At 39.3% G+C, this 18,826-nt stretch overlaps 1 protein-coding gene across 12 annotated transcripts in view; it reads left to right on the top strand.

The window, feature by feature from the left end:
• The window catches only part of PLCH1 (phospholipase C eta 1), a 294,138-nt gene that overhangs the window by 8,318 nt on the left and 266,994 nt on the right, over nt 1–18,826 (top strand). Inside the window, exon 2 of one of the 12 annotated variants that reach the window (XM_011512562.4) lies at nt 10,089–10,212. The exons of the other annotated variants lie outside the window; for them this stretch is intronic. The gene's annotated coding sequence lies outside the window, so the exon portion shown is untranslated. The remainder of the gene's footprint in view (nt 1–10,088; nt 10,213–18,826) is intronic. 12 annotated transcript variants of the gene reach the window in all.

The raw sequence follows: 18,826 nt of genomic DNA, 5'->3' as shown, positions 1-18,826 counted from the left end.
TTATCTGTCTTACTTTCTTCATAAGCCTCATTGCATTTTATAATTTTTAAAACTAGTGTTCTCTAAGGTCTTCTGGATTTCGATAACAGGGCGGGAGAGGTTTTGCAATTTTTAATAGTTTTCTTTCCTCTCATAAAGCATCACTATTGGCTGCAACCTGGCTCAGGGGACCGGTGGGAATCAGACTCGTCTGACTACTGAGCAGCTGAACCTGTCTTTTGCAGGCAGTGTGTTTATGGAGTGAAGGCTGGAAAGTTTCTTTTTCTTATTTTTTTGCCCATTGCTTTTGTTCCCCAAAGAGAAATCACTGTAGTGTGATTATTCCTGAATTTTCCTGAGCCTTGTCTGAATGTGAATGTCACAGGAATCTTTTCTTCTTAAATGGAAAAAGAGAAAAGGCTTGTACACAAATGTTCTACTCTAAACCACAACTTTTCTCCTTTTAAATAGGTTTTGGATTGAAAGTATTTTTCTATTTACTGGGTAAATCACTAAAATACAGTCTTGGAAGAGAGAGAACATAAACTGTTTACTAACTTCTTTTTCTTTTGTCAAAAGAGAGAAATGTGAAATCTGTTATTTAGTTTCCAAGTTTCAGTCAAAAGCAAAAACCTGAATCAGGACCAATTCCCAACATATTGTTGAAAAGTCCTCACTTCCGATCTGGTGAACTAAATTAAAGGTGTACGTTTTCTCATAGAATTCTTCTCATTAGTGTATTAATTTTATTCTTTGGGAAAGAATAACTGGATAGATCTTATATTTTCATGATTACACATTTTAGAAGCTTACAAGGGCGTTTAGGGAAAAATTACCTCCCACATCTCTGTTCCTCAGCCATTCAGTTTTTCCTCCCGTAGAAAAGTGTTATTAGTTTCTTGTGTGTTTTTTCAGACGTAACATATTTTGTGTATCATTATATATCAGCATATAAGAGCTTCCTTAAACTATTTATTTTCTTTAATTGACAAAAATTATATACATGTTTTGAAATATGTATACATTGCAGAATGGGTAAATCGAGCTAATTTATGTAATACCTCACATACTTTTTTTATCTTTTTCTTTTTTGCTGTAAGAACACTGAAAATCTACCCTTATCAGTTTTTTTTTTTTTTTTGAGATGGAGTCTCGCTCTGTCACCCAGGCTGGAGTGCAGTGGTGCGATCTTGGCTCACTGCAACCTCTGCCTTCTGGGTTCAAGCGATTCTCCTGCCTCAGCCTCCCAAGTAGCTGGGATTACAGGTGCCTGCCACCACGCCCGGCTAATTTTTGTATTTTTAGTAGAGATGGGGTTTCACTATGTTGGCCAGGCTGGTCTCGAACTCCTGACCTCAGGTGATCCACCTGCCTTGGCCTCCCAAAGTGTTGGGATTACAGGCGTGAGCCACTGCACCCAGCTCCTTATCAATTTTTTAAGAATAAAATACATTGTTATTAATGATAGTCATCATGTTGTACAATAGACTCTTGAACTTCTTCCCCCTATCTAACCAAAATTTTGTATCCTTTGACCAGCATCTTCCCCACCCGCCACCCAGTCACATCGCAGTCCCTGGTAACTACCATTCTACTCTTTCCTTCTATGAGTTCAACTTTTTTAGATTTTACATATGAGATCATGTGGTATTTGTCTTTCTGTGTCTGACTTACTTCATTTACCATAATGTCCTCCAGGTTCATCCATGTTGCAAATGATAGGATTTCCTTCTTTTTAAAGGGTGAATAGAATGCTACTGTGTATAGGCTGGGCGCGGTGGCTCACGCCTGTAATCCCAGCACTTTGGGAGGCCAAGGCGGGAGGATCACAAGGTCAGGAGATCGAGACCATCCTGGCTAATATGGTGAAACCCCGTCACTACTAAAAATACAAAAAAATTAGCCGGGCGTGGTGGCGGGTGCCTGTAGTCCCAGCTACTGGGGAGGCTGAGGCAGGAGAATGGCGTGAACCTGGGAGGCGGAGGTTGCAGTGAGCCGAGATTGCACCACTGCACTCCAGCCTGGGCGACAGAGCGAGACTCTGTCTCAAAAAAAAAAAAAAAAGAAAAAGAAAAGAATGCTACTGTGTGTATATATATATACCACATTTTCTTTATCCCTTCATCTACTGATGGACACTTAGGTCAGATTCCATAACTTCGCTATTCTGAACAATGCTGTAGTGAACATGTGAGTGAAGATAATTCTTTGACATACTGATTTCATTTTCTTTGGATACATACCCAGTAGTGAAATTGCTAGATCATATAGTAGTTCTATTTTTAATTTCTTAAAATTTAATTTAATTTTATTTTGAGATAGGGTCTCACTCTGTTGCCCAGTCTGGAGTACAATGGTGCGATCATGGCTCACTGCAGTCTTGACCTCATGGGCTCAAGCAATCCTCCCACCTCAGTCTCCTGAGTAGCTGGGAGTACAGGCACATGCCACTATGACTGTCTATTTATTTTTATTTTTAATAGAGACCAGGTCTCACTATGTTGCCTGGGCTGATCTTGAACTCCTGGGCTCAAGTGATCCTCCCACCTTGGCCTCCCGAAGTCTTGGGATTACAAACATGAGACACTGTGCCTGTCCTATTTTTGATTTTTCGAGGAACCTCCATGCCGTATTAATTTACATTCTCACCAGCAGTGCACAAGGATTTCCTTTTTTCCATATCCTTGCCAGCACTTACTTTTTGTCTTTTTGATAATAGCCATTCTAACTGATATGAAGTGAAATCTCATTGTGATTTTAATTTGCACTTTCCTGATGACTAGTGATGTTGAGTGCATATATATATATATATATATATATATATATATATATATATATATGTATACCTGTTGGCCATTTGTATGTTGTCTTTTAAGAAATATCTATCTAGGTCCTTTGCCTATCTTCAGATCAGGTTATTTGTTTTCTGGCAGTTGAGTTCTTTGAGTTCCTTTTGTATTTTGAATATTAACCCCTTATCAGATGTATGGTTTGCAAATATTTTTCCCATTCCACAGGTCGTCTCTTTATTCATTCTCTTTTTTAGTTTGAAGCAATCTCATTTGTCTATTTTTGCTTTTGTTTATTGTGCTTTTGGGGTCATATCCAAAAAATCATTGCTCAGAGAATGTCATGGAGCTTTTCTCCTGTTTACTTCTAGTAGTTTTATAGTTTCAAGTTTTACATTTAAATCTTTAATCTATTTTGAGTTGATTTTGTATGTGGTAGAGAAAATGGTCTAATCTTATTCTTCTGCATGTGGATATCCAGTTTTCCTCAACCTATTTATCGAAGAGACTGTTCTTTCCCCATTGTGTGTTCATGGCACCTTTGTTGAAAATCAATTGACCACAAGGGTGTAGGTTTATTTCTGGGCTCTCTGTTCTGTTCCATAGTTCTCTGTGTCTGTTTTTATGCTGGGACCATGCTGTTTTGAATACTATAGCTTTGTGTGGTATATTTTGAAATCAGGTAGCATGATGCTTCTAGCTTTGTTCTATTTGTTCAAGATTGCTTTCTCTATTCAGGATCTTTTGTGGTTCCATATGAATTTTAGGTGTTTTTCTTTTTTTCTATTTCTGTGAAAACTGTCATTGGAATTTTGATAGGAATTACATTGAATATGTAGATTGCTTTGAGTAATATGGACATTTTAATATTAATTCTTCCAATTTATGAACACAGGATATCTTTCCCTTTGTTCGTGTTTTCTTTAATTTATTTCATCAGTGTTTTGTGGTTTTCAGTATGCAAGTTTTTCACCTCCTTGGTTAAATTTATTCCTACGTATTTTTTTTGTAGCTATTGTAAATGGGATTATTTTCTTGATTTTTTTTCCTCAGAGGATTTATTCTGTGTTTAGAAACATAACTGATTTTTTTTTTTTTTTTTTTTTTTGAGATGCAGTCTCACCCTGTCACCCAGGCTGGAGTGCAGTGGTACAATCTCAGCTCACTGCAACATCCACCTCCTGAATTCAAGTGATTCTCCTGCCTCAGCCTCCTGAGTAGCTGGGACTACAGGCATGCACCACCATGCACAGATAACTTTTGTATTTTTAGTGGAGATGGGGTTTCATTACTTTGGCTAGGCTGGTCTCAAACTCCTGACCTCGGGTGATTCGCCTGCCTCAGCTTCCCAAAGTGCTAGGATTACAGTCATGAACCACCATACCCAGCCATAACTGATTTTTTAGTTTTGATTTTGTATCCTGCAACTTTACTGAATTAGTTTATTAGTTCTTTTTTTTTTTTTTCCAGACTGGGTTTCACTGTGTTAGCCAGGATGGTCTTGATCTCCTGACCTCGTGATCCACCCGCCTCGGCCTCCCAAAGTGCTGGGATTACAGGCGTGAGCCACTGCACCCGGCCTCATCTATTAGTTCTAATTGTATCTAGTAATAGTCTTTAGGGTTTTCTATATATAATATTTTCAAATAACCTGTCTTCAAGTTCACAGATACTTTCTTCTTCTTGATCAATTCTGCTGTTGACACTTGCATTTTTAAATTTGGTTCATTGCATCCTTCAGCTCCAGAATTTGACTTTTAAAATGATTTTTAATATTTTTGTTAATTTTCTTGTTTTGGTCATTTATTGTTTTCCTAATTTTTTTGAATTATTTCTATGTATTTTCTTGAAGTTTGTTGAGGTTCCTATAAACATTGATAATGTATTCTTTGTCACGCAGTTCATACATCTTTTTTTTCTTTAGAGTTGGTTAGTAGTGTTTTATTTTGTTCAGTTGGAGGTGTCATGTTTCCCTGACTTTTTTTTTTTTTTTTTTTTTGAGACAGGGTCTCTGTTTGTCACCCAGGCTGGATAGAGTGCAGTGGCACAATCTTGGCTCATTGCAGCCTTAACCTCAAGTGATCAAGTGATCCTGCCACCTCAGCCCTCGAAGTAGCTGGGACTATAGGTGTGTGCCGCCATGCTTGGCTAATTTTTGTATTTTCTGCAGAGATGGGGTTTTGCCATGTTGACCAGGCTGCTCTTGAACTCCTGAATTCAAGTTATATGCTTGCCTTGACTTTCTAAAGTGCTAGGATTACAGACATGAGCCACAGCATCCGGCTGCCCTGACTATTCTTGATGTTTGTGGCTGTGGGTTGGTGCCTGTGCTTTTGAAGAAGTAGGGATTTATTCCAGTCTTTGTAGACTGACTTTGTGTGGGAAAGCCTTTTATCAGTCAGCCCTTCCAAAGATTCTGGGCAGGCCATCTGGTGTGCTGTGTGGGTGGTCTTGCTCTTGGGGTTCATGGGCAGGCTGGCTTGATGCCTGGGTCAGTAGGTGGGCAGACGTTGCATCTGAATCTTCAGGGTTGAGCCAGGAGCTTGGATCCACTGGCGTGGACCTGTTGATTGGGTCCATGAGGGTTAGCCTGCTGCCTAGGTGCATGAGGGTAGACTTGGAGTTTGTTGTTTGTGGGAATTGGACTTGAGTCTGGATCCACAGAGGCAGACCTGTCACTGGAATAGGCCTTGAGCCTGAGTCTGCAGGTGCTGGCCAGCTGCTGTGATGAGTCTGGTACCTAGGTCCAACGGGATGGGCCTGGAGCCTAAGTCCATGGGGGCTGGCATGGCCCTAGGGTTGGCCTAGAGCCTAAGTCTGCAGAGGCTGGCCTGGGATGGAAGCAAATCTGTATCCTGGTGCCACTTGGCTAGCCTGGAGTCTGTGGCCTTTGAGGTAAACCTGGCAATGGAGCAAACCTGGAGAACAAGTCCACCAGGCAGGTCTGGAGCCTAGGGCTGTGGGATCTGGCATGGTGCCAGGGTAGGCCTGGAGGCTCAGTCCATGGTTACCGGTCTGGAGTCTGGAATTGTGCAGGCCCTCTTGGTTCTGGATTTTACTGGGTTGGGCCTGGCATTAGGGTGTAAGGCAATGTCCATTATTCACCTCCATCTTCTTCCCCCAAGCAGAGGGTATCTCTCCACACTGTGCTGCCTGTGGTTAAAGCATGGGTGACCTGGGTAATGTAAAACTGTCCTTCCTACCCTTTTCAATGTGGTTTCTTATTTCTGTGCTACCCTTAGGTGCTATGATCTCATGATCTCTTACCTGGTTTCCTTAGCTCTTGTGAAGTTATTTATTTTGCCATCTCGCTCTTCTTTTATTTGTTTACTTATTTAATGGCTGCATATTTCCCACTGTATGGATATACTATAAATTAAGCAGATCAATCAACAATTAGGTTGCAGCTGGGCATGGTGGCTCACACCTGTAATCTCAGCACTTTGGAAGGCCAAGGTGGGTGGGTCACCCAATGCCAGGAGTTCGAGACCAGCCTGGCCAACATGGTGAAACCCTGTCTCTACTAAAAATACGAAAATTAGCTGGGCGTGGTGCGGGCGCCTGTAGTCCCAGCTACTTGGGAGGCTGAGACATGAGAATCACTTAAACCCAGGAGGCGGAGGTTGTAGTGAGCCAAGGTTACCCCACTGCACTCCCGCCTGGGTGAAAGAGCAAGACGGTCTCAAAAAAGAAAAAAAAAAAACTAATCATTTTTGATGCTCTTTTGAGCTTGAGAATTCTTATGAACAAATCAGGTTTCATATCCCATCTCCTTCTCTATTTCCTTGAGGACCTTTTGAATTCCTGTCTTGTAATTTCTGATATTCTTATATCTTCATATAGTAGAGGCTCTTTATTGACCTGTTAGAGGATTAAGAACCCATCTCTGCTGCCTTTAGAGAAATAAAACTTTAATTCTTAATTTTACCACCAGTATCTTAGGTTAAAATCTTTATAAAACTATAATTTTTATTATGACTATTATCCTTCTAAAGAGAGGCCATTCTCAGGACTTATATTCTGAATAATTTATGGTTAAGCATTCTTTTTTTTTTTTTTTTGAGATGGAGTCTTGCTGTGTCACCCACGCGGGAGTACAGTGGCATGATCTCTTGCTCACTGCAACCTCTGCCTCCTGGGCTCAAGTGATCCTCCCACTCCATCCTGAGTAGCTGGAACTACAAGGTGTGCACCACCTTGCCCAGATAACATTTGAATTTTTACTAGAGGAGATGGGGTTTCACCATGTCACTTAGGCTGGTCTTGAACTGCTGGGCTCAAGCCATCTGCCACCTCAGCCTCCTAAAGTGTTGGAATTACAGGCGTGAGCCACTGTGCCTGGCCCAATTTCCTTATATGTTCTTTATTATATCACATTATATTTAGATAGCATATTAATAATATTCTTTAGTAATTTTCCTTTTATAACCAGGAACAGAGATTTGAGCATCTACTGTTCCTTCCTACTAAAATGTCCTTCCCATGCAACCCTCCCATATTCTCCTCCCTCTTTTAAACCTACTCATCCTTTGACATCTGGCTGCAACATCCCACTCTCCAGGAACTTTTTTCTGTATTTTTGGGCACAGATCCCCCACTTACCCTGCTGTGTGGTTGAAAGGAGGAGAGATGATGTTTGGAGTTTGGATTGGCATCACAAGGCAGATCTCTTGGAGCTGCACTCCTTATTGCTGGGTAGAAGGGGTAGGGAGGACAGGCAAAGATGAAAATTGGACACATTCCCTGCTATAAGCTCCCTTCACTCACTGGTGGATGGAGAAGAAGACAGAAGAGAGGATAAGATGAATTGGGGAGACTGGCAGCTCTGTCCTTCTTTGGGGGATGCCTTTTCTTAGACTGAATTTTGGACATCCTTATGTATGAAGGAATCGTGAGCAGACATATTCTGAAATCCATTTCCACTATTTAAAAAGTGTGGAAATCACTGGTTTAGAGACAATTAGCATAAGCCAAGGAATTTTTGGATGTTAGACCTACGCACAAGTTGATTAAATAAGAATTGTAAAATAAATCTGCTGTTTGTATGTCATCAAGAAACATCTTCAGATGCAATCAAATATGTTAACATTGGGCTAGAGTTCCAGATTGATGGCCACTGAGAGTTGAAATCTAATTACCAAATATTCATTCCTTTAGATGTTTTTTAATATGGTCTTAATTTCCAATCAGTATTGTGTGCCCACTTTTAAAATGAAGGCATATATATCTATAAAAATGGAAGTATGCCCATCCTGATATGAGAATAGGGAGGTAGAAAGGACTGAGGTTAGGAAGTCTGGATCTACTACTGGCTCTGCCATACTTAGTAGGGCTCTGTCTTGTTGTCTTTCTCTCTCTCTCCCTCTGTTTTATTCATGATTTGTTAGGAAGCAAAATTACACATATCTTAAGAAGGAAATCTTTAGAGTTAGATTTTTTGAGTTCAAATCCTAGTGCTGTTGCTTGATGGTTGTGGGACCTTGGGTAATTACTTAACCTTACTGTGCTTCAGTTTCTCTATCAGAACAAAAGGGATAATAATTATACCTAGCCCTTTGGATAGTCGAAAGGACTAAATAAAATAATACTTGCAAAATGCTTATCATGATACTTGGCCATAGGAAGTGCGAAAAAAATATCAGCAGTTATTACAAAGTGGCAGGCCCTGAGTTAATATGTTTTGGGCTGGCTCAGGTCCTGATTTGGCTGTCAAACTGCATGGATCTGTGGCTCTGAATATGAATTACCAGGGGTCAGCTCTCTTCTTAGCAACACACCCTCGCCCCCCGCTGATACCATTTAAAAATTCTGGATAAAATAGAAAAATCATTTTCCTAAATGCAATGAACCAGTAAGAAAGTAATGAATACTCATGCCAAAAGCTCAGTGAAGAGGGTTCAGTTGAGCACTGAAGCTGGATTTGCCTTGAGGACATTTGCCAAACTGGGTTAACTTGAATTTCAGTTTTCATTGCCAGAAGGCATAAGGGACAAGAGAGTGAGACATCTGAGAAGGGGCCTTTTGGTTATAAAGCTGGGATTTCAAAAGGCTTCTGCTTTAATGTAAGTGTGAATTAGAAAAAAAAAAAAGAAACAAAATCACCGTATTTTCTTTCTAACTTAAGAAGTCTGTAAGGAAGATCACCTATCACTGGTGTAGAGCAGGTGCCTGATTTCTTGGTCCTGAGAATTTGTGATTGTAAACCAGCTCTAATACAGGTATGCATCTGGAATTTACAATACCTATGAAGTCAGGAAAACCTCAAGATGCAGATTTGGTTTAAAGATTTCATACATTGGGCCGGGCTCGGTGGCTCACACCTGTGATCCCAGCACTTTGGGAGGCCGAGACGGGCGGATCACTTGAGGTCAGGAGTTTGAGACCAGCCTGGCTAACATGGTGAAACCCTGTCTCTAATAAAAATACAAAAATTAGCTGGGCGTGGTGGCACACACTTGTAATTTCAGCTACGCAGGAGGCTGAGGCAGGAGAATCGCTTGAGCCCAGGAGGGGGAGGTTGCAGTGAGCCGAGATTGTGCCACTGCACTCCAGCCTGGACAAAAGAATGAGACTCCATCTCAAAAAAAAAAAAAAGGATTTCGTACATTGGAAGTGTTGCTGGTACTGAGCAGAACCCATTTTTTTTTCCTTTTTTGGTGAAATCTATTTTTTATCTCAGACTACAGAGAATTTCTGCCAATGAAATTAAAAGGCAAATGAGCATGTCTGTAAAACCAAAAACAGAATAAAAAACCTCCCCTAAACACAAGATACGAGCTTAAGATAAGAAACTATGAGGACTAACCAAGCTCATTTTATTTTTTTATTTTTATTTTTCCAAGCTCATTTAAAAAATAACCAAATACAACTTGAAAAAATAAAAATGTAATAATTAAAAATAAGAGAGTGAATGAATTTATGAATAGGTAAATCCAAGCTGCATAGAAAATTAATCAAAAGAATTTGAGCCGGGCGCAGTGGCTCACGCCTGTATTCCCAGCACTTTGAGAGGCTGAGGCAGGTGGCTTACAGTGTCAGGAGTTCGAGACCATCCTGGCCAACGTGGTGAAACCGTGTCTCTACTAAAAATACAAAAAAAAAAAAAAAGAAAAAAGAAAAAAAATTAGCCGGGTGGGATGGCGCGTGCCTGTAATCCCAGCTACTCAGGAGGCTGAGGCAGGAGAATCACTTGAACCTGGGAGGCAGAGGTTGCAGTGAGCCAAGATCACACCACTGCACTCCAGCCTGGGCAACAGGGTGAAGACCCCGTCTCAAAAAAAAAAAAAAAGAATCTGAACAAAATTTTAATTATTGCTACAGAAAAAGAAGAGAGGAAAGAAAATTGGAAAAGGCAACATTTAAAGAGATAATGGCTGAGAATTTTCAAGGATCAATAAAAAGCATCACTTGACATATTGATGAAGTCATATGAATTCCAGACAGAGTAAGTAAAAAGAAATCCACACATAGACAAAATATAATTAAACTGCAGAACACAAAAGATAAAGAGAGGATCTTAAGCTTAGCTTCAAAGACATGACAAATTATCCTGACAATGTAACAATAGAAGCCAGAAGACAATAGAATATTATCTTTCATGTACTGTGGGAAATTAACTGTCACCCTAGGATTCTATTTTCATTAAAAAACAATCTTTAAAAAACAGGGACACAATAAAGGCCTTTCAGATGCACAAAAACCTAAAGAATTTGTTCCAGCAGATCTTCACTAAAAGAGTAACACTTGAGGTAGAAGAAAATTATTTCCAGATAAAGGATCTTAAAAACAAGAAATAATGAAGACCAAAGAAAGTTTAAGTTAAAACACGTATTGACTATATAAGGTAATAATGATATATTCAGTGGGAACTAGTAACATAAGTTGGAGAAGCAAAAGGAGTTAATGTGCTCTAAAATTCTTGTATAGTTTGGGAAGAGATTAGAGATAATGATTATTGAGACTTCGATAAGCAAAGTATGCATGTTAAAATGTCTAGGGCAACTACTAAAAATTAGGAAAATAATGGATAACTTCCTAGCTAATGGAGAAAAATTAAATGAGAAAAATAACCTCAAGGAAATCAAGGGAGCTGAGAAAAAAGTAGAGAATAGGCAAGACAAATAGCAAGCACAAAATATGATGTTGAAATAAATTCCATTGTATCACTAATCATAATCTAAAGGAACCAAAGATTGTTAGAGTGGATGAAGAATTCAGCTATATGCTACTTATAACAGAAATGTCCAGGCTGGGAGTGATGTCTCATGCCTGTAATCCCTGTACTTTGGGAGGCTGAGGCGGGCAGATCACCTGAGGTCAGGAGTTCAAGACCAGCCCGGCCAACGTGGTGAAACCCCGTCTCTACTAAAAATACAAAAATTAGCCGGGCATGCATCTGTAATCCCAGCTACTCTGGAGGATGAGGTAGGAGAATTGCTTGAACGTGGGAGGTGGAGGTTGCAGTGAGCTGAGATCGCACTATCGTACTCCAGCCTGGGGGACAGAGTGAGACTCTGTCTCAAAAAAAAAAAAAAGTGTCTAAAATATAAGGATACAGAATGTTTAAAAGTAAAATAATAGAAAGGGAAATAGGTGACTAAAAACCAAAAGAAGCTGGCAATTTTGACATAAGACAAAATAGGCTTTAAATTGCAAAAAGCATTTTTAGAGATAAAGAGGGTCAATTGGTTAAAAAGTCTCAACTTATCAGAAAGATAAAATACTTACATATGCATCTTCAGGTAGCCTATAAAGAAAAGCCTATCAGATTAACAGTAGATTTCTCAGCAGAAACCCTATAAACTAGAAGGGATTGGGGTCAAAGCCTATCAGATTAACAGCAGATTTGTCAGCAGAAACCCTATAAGCTAGAAGGGATTGGGGTCCTATCTTTAGCCTCCTTAAACAAAACAATTATCAGGCAAGAATTTTGTATCCAGCAAAACTAAGCTTCATAAATGAAGGAAAGATACAGTCTTTTTCAGACAAACAAATGCTGAGAAAATTCACAACTACTAAGCCTGCACAGTAAGAACTGCTAAAAGGAGCTCTAAATTTTGAAACAAATCCTTGAAATACAGCAAAACAGAACCTTCTTAAAGCATAAATCTCACAGGACATATATAACAATTACACACACACACACACACACACACACACACACACACACACAAAACCCCCCAAGGTATTCAGGCAACAAATACCATGATGAATAGAATAGTACCTCACATCTCAATACTAACATTGAATGTAAATGGCCTAAATGCTCCACTTAAAATATACAGAATGGCAGAATGATAAGAATTCACAAACTAACTATCCCCTGCCTTCAAGAGACTCACCTAACACAGAACGACTCACATAAACTTAAGGTAAAGGGGTGAAAAAAGATATTCTATGCAAATGGACACCAAAAGCAAGCAAGAGTAGCTACTGTTATATCAGATAAAACAAACTTTAAAGCAACAGCAGTTAAAAAAGACAAAGAGGGACATTATACAATGATAAAAGAATTAGTCCAACAGGAAAATGTCACAATTCTAAATATATATGCACCTGACACTGGAGCTCCCAAATTTATAAAACAATTACTACTAGACCTAAGAAATAAGGTAGATGGCAACACAATAATAATGGAGGACTGTAATACTCCACTGACAGCACCTAGACAGGTCATTAAGACAGAAAGTCAACAACAAAAAGATGGACTTAGAACAAACAGACTTAACAGAACAAACAGACTTAACAGATATTTACAGAATATTCTTCCCAATAACTGGAGAATATACTCAGCACATAGGACATTCTTTAAGATAAACCATATAATAGGCCACAAAATAAGTCTCAACAAATTTAAGAAAATTGAAATTATAGCAAGTAGTCTCTCAGACCACAGTGGAATAAAATTGGATATCCACTCCAAAAGCAAGCCTCAAAACCATGCAAATACATGGAAATTAAATAACCTGCACCTGAATGGTTGTTGGGTCAACAATGAAATCAAGATGGAATTTTTTTTTTTTTTTTTTTTTTGAGATGGAGTTTAGCTCTGTCACCCAGGCTAGAGTGCAGTGGCTCAATTTCTGCTCACTGCAACCTCCACCTCCTGGGTTCAAGCGATTCTTCTGCCTCAGCCTCCTGAGTAGCTGGGATTACAGGCACCTGTGACCATGCCCAGCTAATTTTTGTGTTTTTAGTAGAGCCAGGGTTTCACCATGTTGGCCAGGCTGGTCTCAAACTCCTGACCTTGTGATCCACCTGGCTTGGCATCCCAAAATGCTGGGATTTTAAGCATGAGCCACCATGCTTGGTCCAAGATGGCAATTAAAAAATTATTTGAACTGAATGATAATAATGACACAACCTATCAAAACCTTTGGGATACAACAAAGGCAATGCTAAGAGGAAAGTTCATAGCATTAAATACCTAAATCAAAAAGTCTGAAAGAGCACAAATAGACAATCTAAGGTCACACCTCAAGGAGCTAGAGAAACAGGAACAAACCAACCCAAACCCAGCAGAAGAAAAGGAATAATGAAGATCAGAGCAGAAGGAAATGAAATGGAAACAGAACAAAACAAAACAAAAAACAATAAAAAAGGTAAATGAAACAAAAAGCTGTTTCTTTGAAAAGATAAACAAAATTGATAGACCAATAGTGAGATTAACCAATAAAAGAAGAGAGATGATTCAAATAAGCTCAATTAGAGATGAAATGGGAGATGTTACAACTGATACCACAGAAATACAAAAGATCATTCAAGGCTGCTATGGAGAGAGATGATCTAAATAAACTCAATTAGAGATGAAATGGGAGATATTACAACTGATACCACAGAAATACAAAAGATCATTCAAGGCTACTATGAACACCTTTATGTGCATAAACTAGAAAACCTAGAGAAGATGGATAAATTCCTGGAACTATACAATCCTCCTAGATTAAACTAGGAAGAAATAGAAACTCTGAACAGACCAATAACAAATAGCAAGATTGAAATGGTAGTAAAAAAAATTGCCAACAAGAAAAGTCCAGGACCAGATGGATTCACAGCTGAATTCTATCAGACATTCAAAGAAGAATTGGCACCAATCCTATTGACACCATTCCAAAAGCTAGAGAAAGAGGGAATCCTCCCTAAATCATTCTATGAAGCCATTATCACCCTAATACCCAAACCAGGAAAAGACATACCAAAAAAAGAAAATCACAGACCAATATCCTTGATGAACATAGATGCAAAATTCCTCAACAAAATACTAGCTAACCAAATCCAACAGCATATCAAAAAGATAATCCACCATGATCAAGCGGGTTTCATACTAGGGATGCAGGGATGGTTTCACATGTGCAAATCAATGAATATGATACACCACATAAACAGAATTAAAAACAAAAATCACATGATTATCTCAATAGACTCAGAAAAAGCATTTGACAAAATCCAGCATTCTTTTATGATTAAGACCCTCAGCAAAATTGCCATAGAAGGGACATACATTAAGGTAATAACAGGACATCTAGGCCAGGCACAGTGGCTCACGCCTGTAATCCCAGCACTTTGGGAGGCCAGGGTGGGTTGATCACCTGAGGTCAGGAGTTCCAGACCAGCCTGACCAACATGGAGAAATCCCGTCTCTACTGAAAATACAAAATTAGCTGGGCGTGGTGGTGCGTGCCTTAATCCCAGCTACTCAGGAGGCTAAAGCAGGAGAATTGCTTGAACCCGGGAGGCAGAGGTTGCGGTGAGCCGAGATCACGTCATTGCACTCCAGCCTGGGCAACAGGAGCGAAACTCCATCTCAAAAAGAAAAAAAAAAGACATCTACGACAAACCCACAGCCACCATTATACTGAATGGAGAAAAATCAAAAGCCTTCCTCCTCAGAATGGGAACAAGACAAGGATGCCCACTTTCACCACTTCTTTATTTTTTTTGAGACAGAGTCTCACTCTTTTGCCCAGGCTGCAGGGCAGTGCCACGATCTCGGCTCAGTACAACCTCCATCTCCCAGGTTCAAGCAGTTCTCCTGCTTCAGCCTCCCGAGTAGCTGAGATTACAGGCATGTGCCACCATGCCCGGCTAATTTTGTATTTTTAGTAGAGATGAGGTTTCACCATGTTGGCCAGGCTGGTCTTGAACTCCCGACTTCAGGTGATCAGCCCACCTTGGCTTCCCAAAGTGCTGGGATTACAAGCATCAGCTACTGTGCCCGGCCCACTTTTACCACTTTTATTCAGCATAGTACTGGAAATCCTAGCCAGAGCAATTAGACAAGAGAAAGAAATAAAGGGTATCCATGTTGGTAAAGAGGAAGTCTAACTGTGGTTTTTTGCCGATGATATGATTGTACACCTAGAAAATCCTAAATACTCATCCAAAAAGCTCCTATAACTGATAAATTCAGCCAAGTTTCAGGATACAAAATTAATGTACACAAATCAGTAGCTCTGCTATACATGAACAGCGACCAAGCTGAGAATCAAATCAAGAACTCAACCCCTGTTACAATAGCTGGAAAAAAAACCAATTTAGGAATATACCTAACTAAGGAAGTAAAGGACCTCTGCAAGGAAAATAACAAAACACTGCTGAAAGAAATTACAGAAAACACAAACAAATGGAAACACATTCCAGGCTTATGGATGGGTAGAATCAATACTGTGAAAATGACCATACTGCCAAAAGCAATCTACTGATTTAATGCAATTCCCATCAACATACCACCATCATTCTTAGAACTAGAAAAAACAATCCTAAAACTTATATGAAACCATAAAAAAGCCCACATAGCCAAAGCAAGACTTAGCAAAAAGAACAAATCTGGAGGCATCCTATTACCTGACTTCAAGCTATACTACAAGGCCATAGTCACCAAAACAGCACGGCACTGGTATGAAAATAGGCACATAGACCAATGGAGCAGAATAGAGAACCCAGAAAGAAAGCCAAATATATACAGCCAACTGATCTTCAACAAAGCAAACAAAACATGGGGAAAGGACACCCTATTCACCAAATGGTGCTGGAATAAATGTCAAACCACATGTAGAAGAATGAAACTGGATGCTTCTCTTTCACCTTATATAAAAATCAACTGAAGATGGATCAAAGACTTAAATCTAAGACCTGAAACTTTACAAATTCTGGAAGATAACATTGGAAAAACCCTTCTAGACATTGGCTTAGGCAAAGACTTCATGACCAAGAACCCAAAAGCAAATGCAACAAAAAGAAATATAAATAGATGGGACTTAATTAAACTAAAAAGCTTCTGCACAGCAAAAGAAATAATCAGCAGGGTAAACAGACAACTCACCGAGTGGGAGAAAATCTTCACAATCTATATCTCTGACAAAGGACAAATTATCCAGAATCCACAAGGAACTCAAATAAATCATCAAGAAAAAAACAAATAATCCCATCAAAAAGTGGGCTAAGGACATGAATAGACAATTCTCAAAAGAAGATATACAAATGGGCAACAAACATATGAAAAAATGCTCACTGTCACTAATGATCAGGGAAATGCAAATCAAAACCACAATGCAATACCACCTTACTCCTGCAAGAACAGCAATAATAAAAAAATAAAAAAATAATAGATGTCAGTGTGGATGTGGTGAAAAGGGAATACTTTTACACTGTTGGTGGGAATGTAAACTAATACAACCACTGTGGAAAATAGTGTGGAGATTTCTTAAAGAACCAAAAGTAGATCTACTATTTGATCCAGCAATCCCACTACTGGGTATGAACCCAGAGCAAAAGAATTCATTATATGAAAAAGATACTTGACCACACATGTTTATAGCAGCATAATTCACAAATGCAAAAATATTGAAACAGCCCAAATGCCCATCAATCAATGAGTGGATAAAGAAAATGTAGGCCAGGCATGGTAGCTCACGCCTGTAATCCCAGCACTTTGGGAAGCTGAGGCGGGTGGATCATGAGGTCAGGAGTTCAAGACCAGCTTGACTAATATGGTGAAACCTCATCTCTACTAAAAATACAAAAATTAGCCGGGCATGGTGGCGCATGACTGTAATCCCAGCTACTCGGGAAGCTGAGACAGGAGAATTGCTTGAGCTCGAGAGGCGGAAGTTGCAGTGAGCCAAGATTGCGCCACTGCACTCCAGACAGAGTGAGAGTCTGTCTGGAAAAAAAAAATAAAAGAAGACAATGTAGTATATTTATACCATGGAATACTACTCAGCCATAAAGAGGAATGAAATAATGGCATTTACAGCAACCTGGATGGATTTGGAGAACATTATTCTTTTTTTTTTTTACTAAAACAAAAGTGCTACAAGCTATATTTCAAAAAAGCACATGACATAATAATGTCTACCAAAAAGTACAACAGTTCAAATCCCCTAATTCACTCCACAAGCAACCTCTCTTCCAGTTTTTATTATCATATATTGGATTTGCTTATTCTTTTTTTTAATTAATTAATTTTTTTATTATACTTTAAGTTCTAGGGTACATGTGCACAACGTGCAGGTTTGTTACATATGTATACATGTGCCATGTTGGTGTGCTGCACCCATTAACTCGTCATTTACATTAGGTATATCTCCTAATGCTATCCCTTCCCCCTCCCCCAACCCCACAACAGGCCCCGGTGTGTGATGTTCCCCTTCCTGTGTCCAAGTGTTCTCATTGTGGAGAACATTATTCTAAGTGAAGTAATTCAGCAATGGAAAACCAAACATCATATGTTCTCACTCATAGTGGGAGCTAAGCTTTGAGGATTCAAAAGCATAAGAATGATACTATGGACTTTGGGGACTCAGGGGAAAGGGTAGAAGGAGGGTGAGGGATAAAAGACTACACTACACATTGGGTACAGTGTACTCTGCTCAGGTGATGGGTGCACCAAAATCTCAGAAATCACCACTAAAGAACTGATTCGTGCAACCAAACAACACTTGTTTTCCAAAAAACTTTTGGAAAAAAAACTTCCATGCATCTAGGGATAATATGACTTCAAATATATTTGAAATATATAGTCATGAAATAACATGACTTCAAAATATATTCAGCAAAAAATTGAGAGAACAATGATAAATACATATATTTCTGGTGAGATTTTAATATACTTCCTCAGTACTTGGTAAAATGGGGAAAATATCTGCTAACATACAAGATGATATAGTTTGAATATATGTTCCTGCCAAATATAATGTTGAATTGTAATCCCCAATGTTAGAGTTAAGGTCTGGTGGGAGGTATTTGGGTCATCCCTCATGGCTTGGTGATGTCCTTGCAATAGTAAGTGACATCTCGAAAGATCTGGTTGTTGTAAATTGTGGCACCTCCCCCCCGCACTCACCCTCTTGCTCCTGTTTCTGCCATGTGAGACACCTGCTTTTGCTTCACCTTCCACCATGAGTAAGAGTTTCTTGTGACCTCCCTAGATGCGGATGCTGGTGCCATGCTTCCTGTACATCCTTCAGAACCATAGCCAATTAAACCTCTTATAAATTACCCAATCTGAGGTATTTCTTTATAGCAATGCAAGAATGGCCTAACACAGAAAATTGGTTCTGAGAGTGCAGTATTGCTATAGCAATATGGGGTATTTCACCTGAAAATGTGGAAGCAGCTTAGGAACTGGGTAACAGGCAGAGGTTTAAAGAGTTTAGAGGGCTCAGAAGAAGGAAGGAAGATGATGGAAAATTTGGAACTTCTTAAAGACTGGTTAAATTGTTGTGACCAAAATGGTAATAGTGATATGGACAGTGAAGTTCAAGCTAAAGAGGTCTCAGATGGAAATGAGGAACTTACTGGGAGCTGGAGTAAAGGTTATGCATGTTATGCCTTAGGAAAAAAATTTGGCTGCATTCTGTTCATGCCCTAGGGATCTATAGACACTTTAACTTCAGAGTGATGATCTAGGGTATTTGGTGGAATGAATTTCTGGGCAGTATTGTTCAAGTTGTGACCTGGCTGCTTCTAACAGCCTATGCTCAGAAGTGGGAGCAAATAAATGACTTAAAGTTGGAATTTACATTTAAATAGCAAGCAGAGCTTAAGAGTGTGGAAAA

Source organism: Homo sapiens, chromosome 3 (assembly GCF_000001405.40).
Source record: "Homo sapiens chromosome 3, GRCh38.p14 Primary Assembly".
NCBI classification, from domain to species: Eukaryota; Metazoa; Chordata; class Mammalia; order Primates; family Hominidae; genus Homo; species Homo sapiens.
This window is presented reverse-complemented; position numbering and strand designations above follow the sequence as displayed.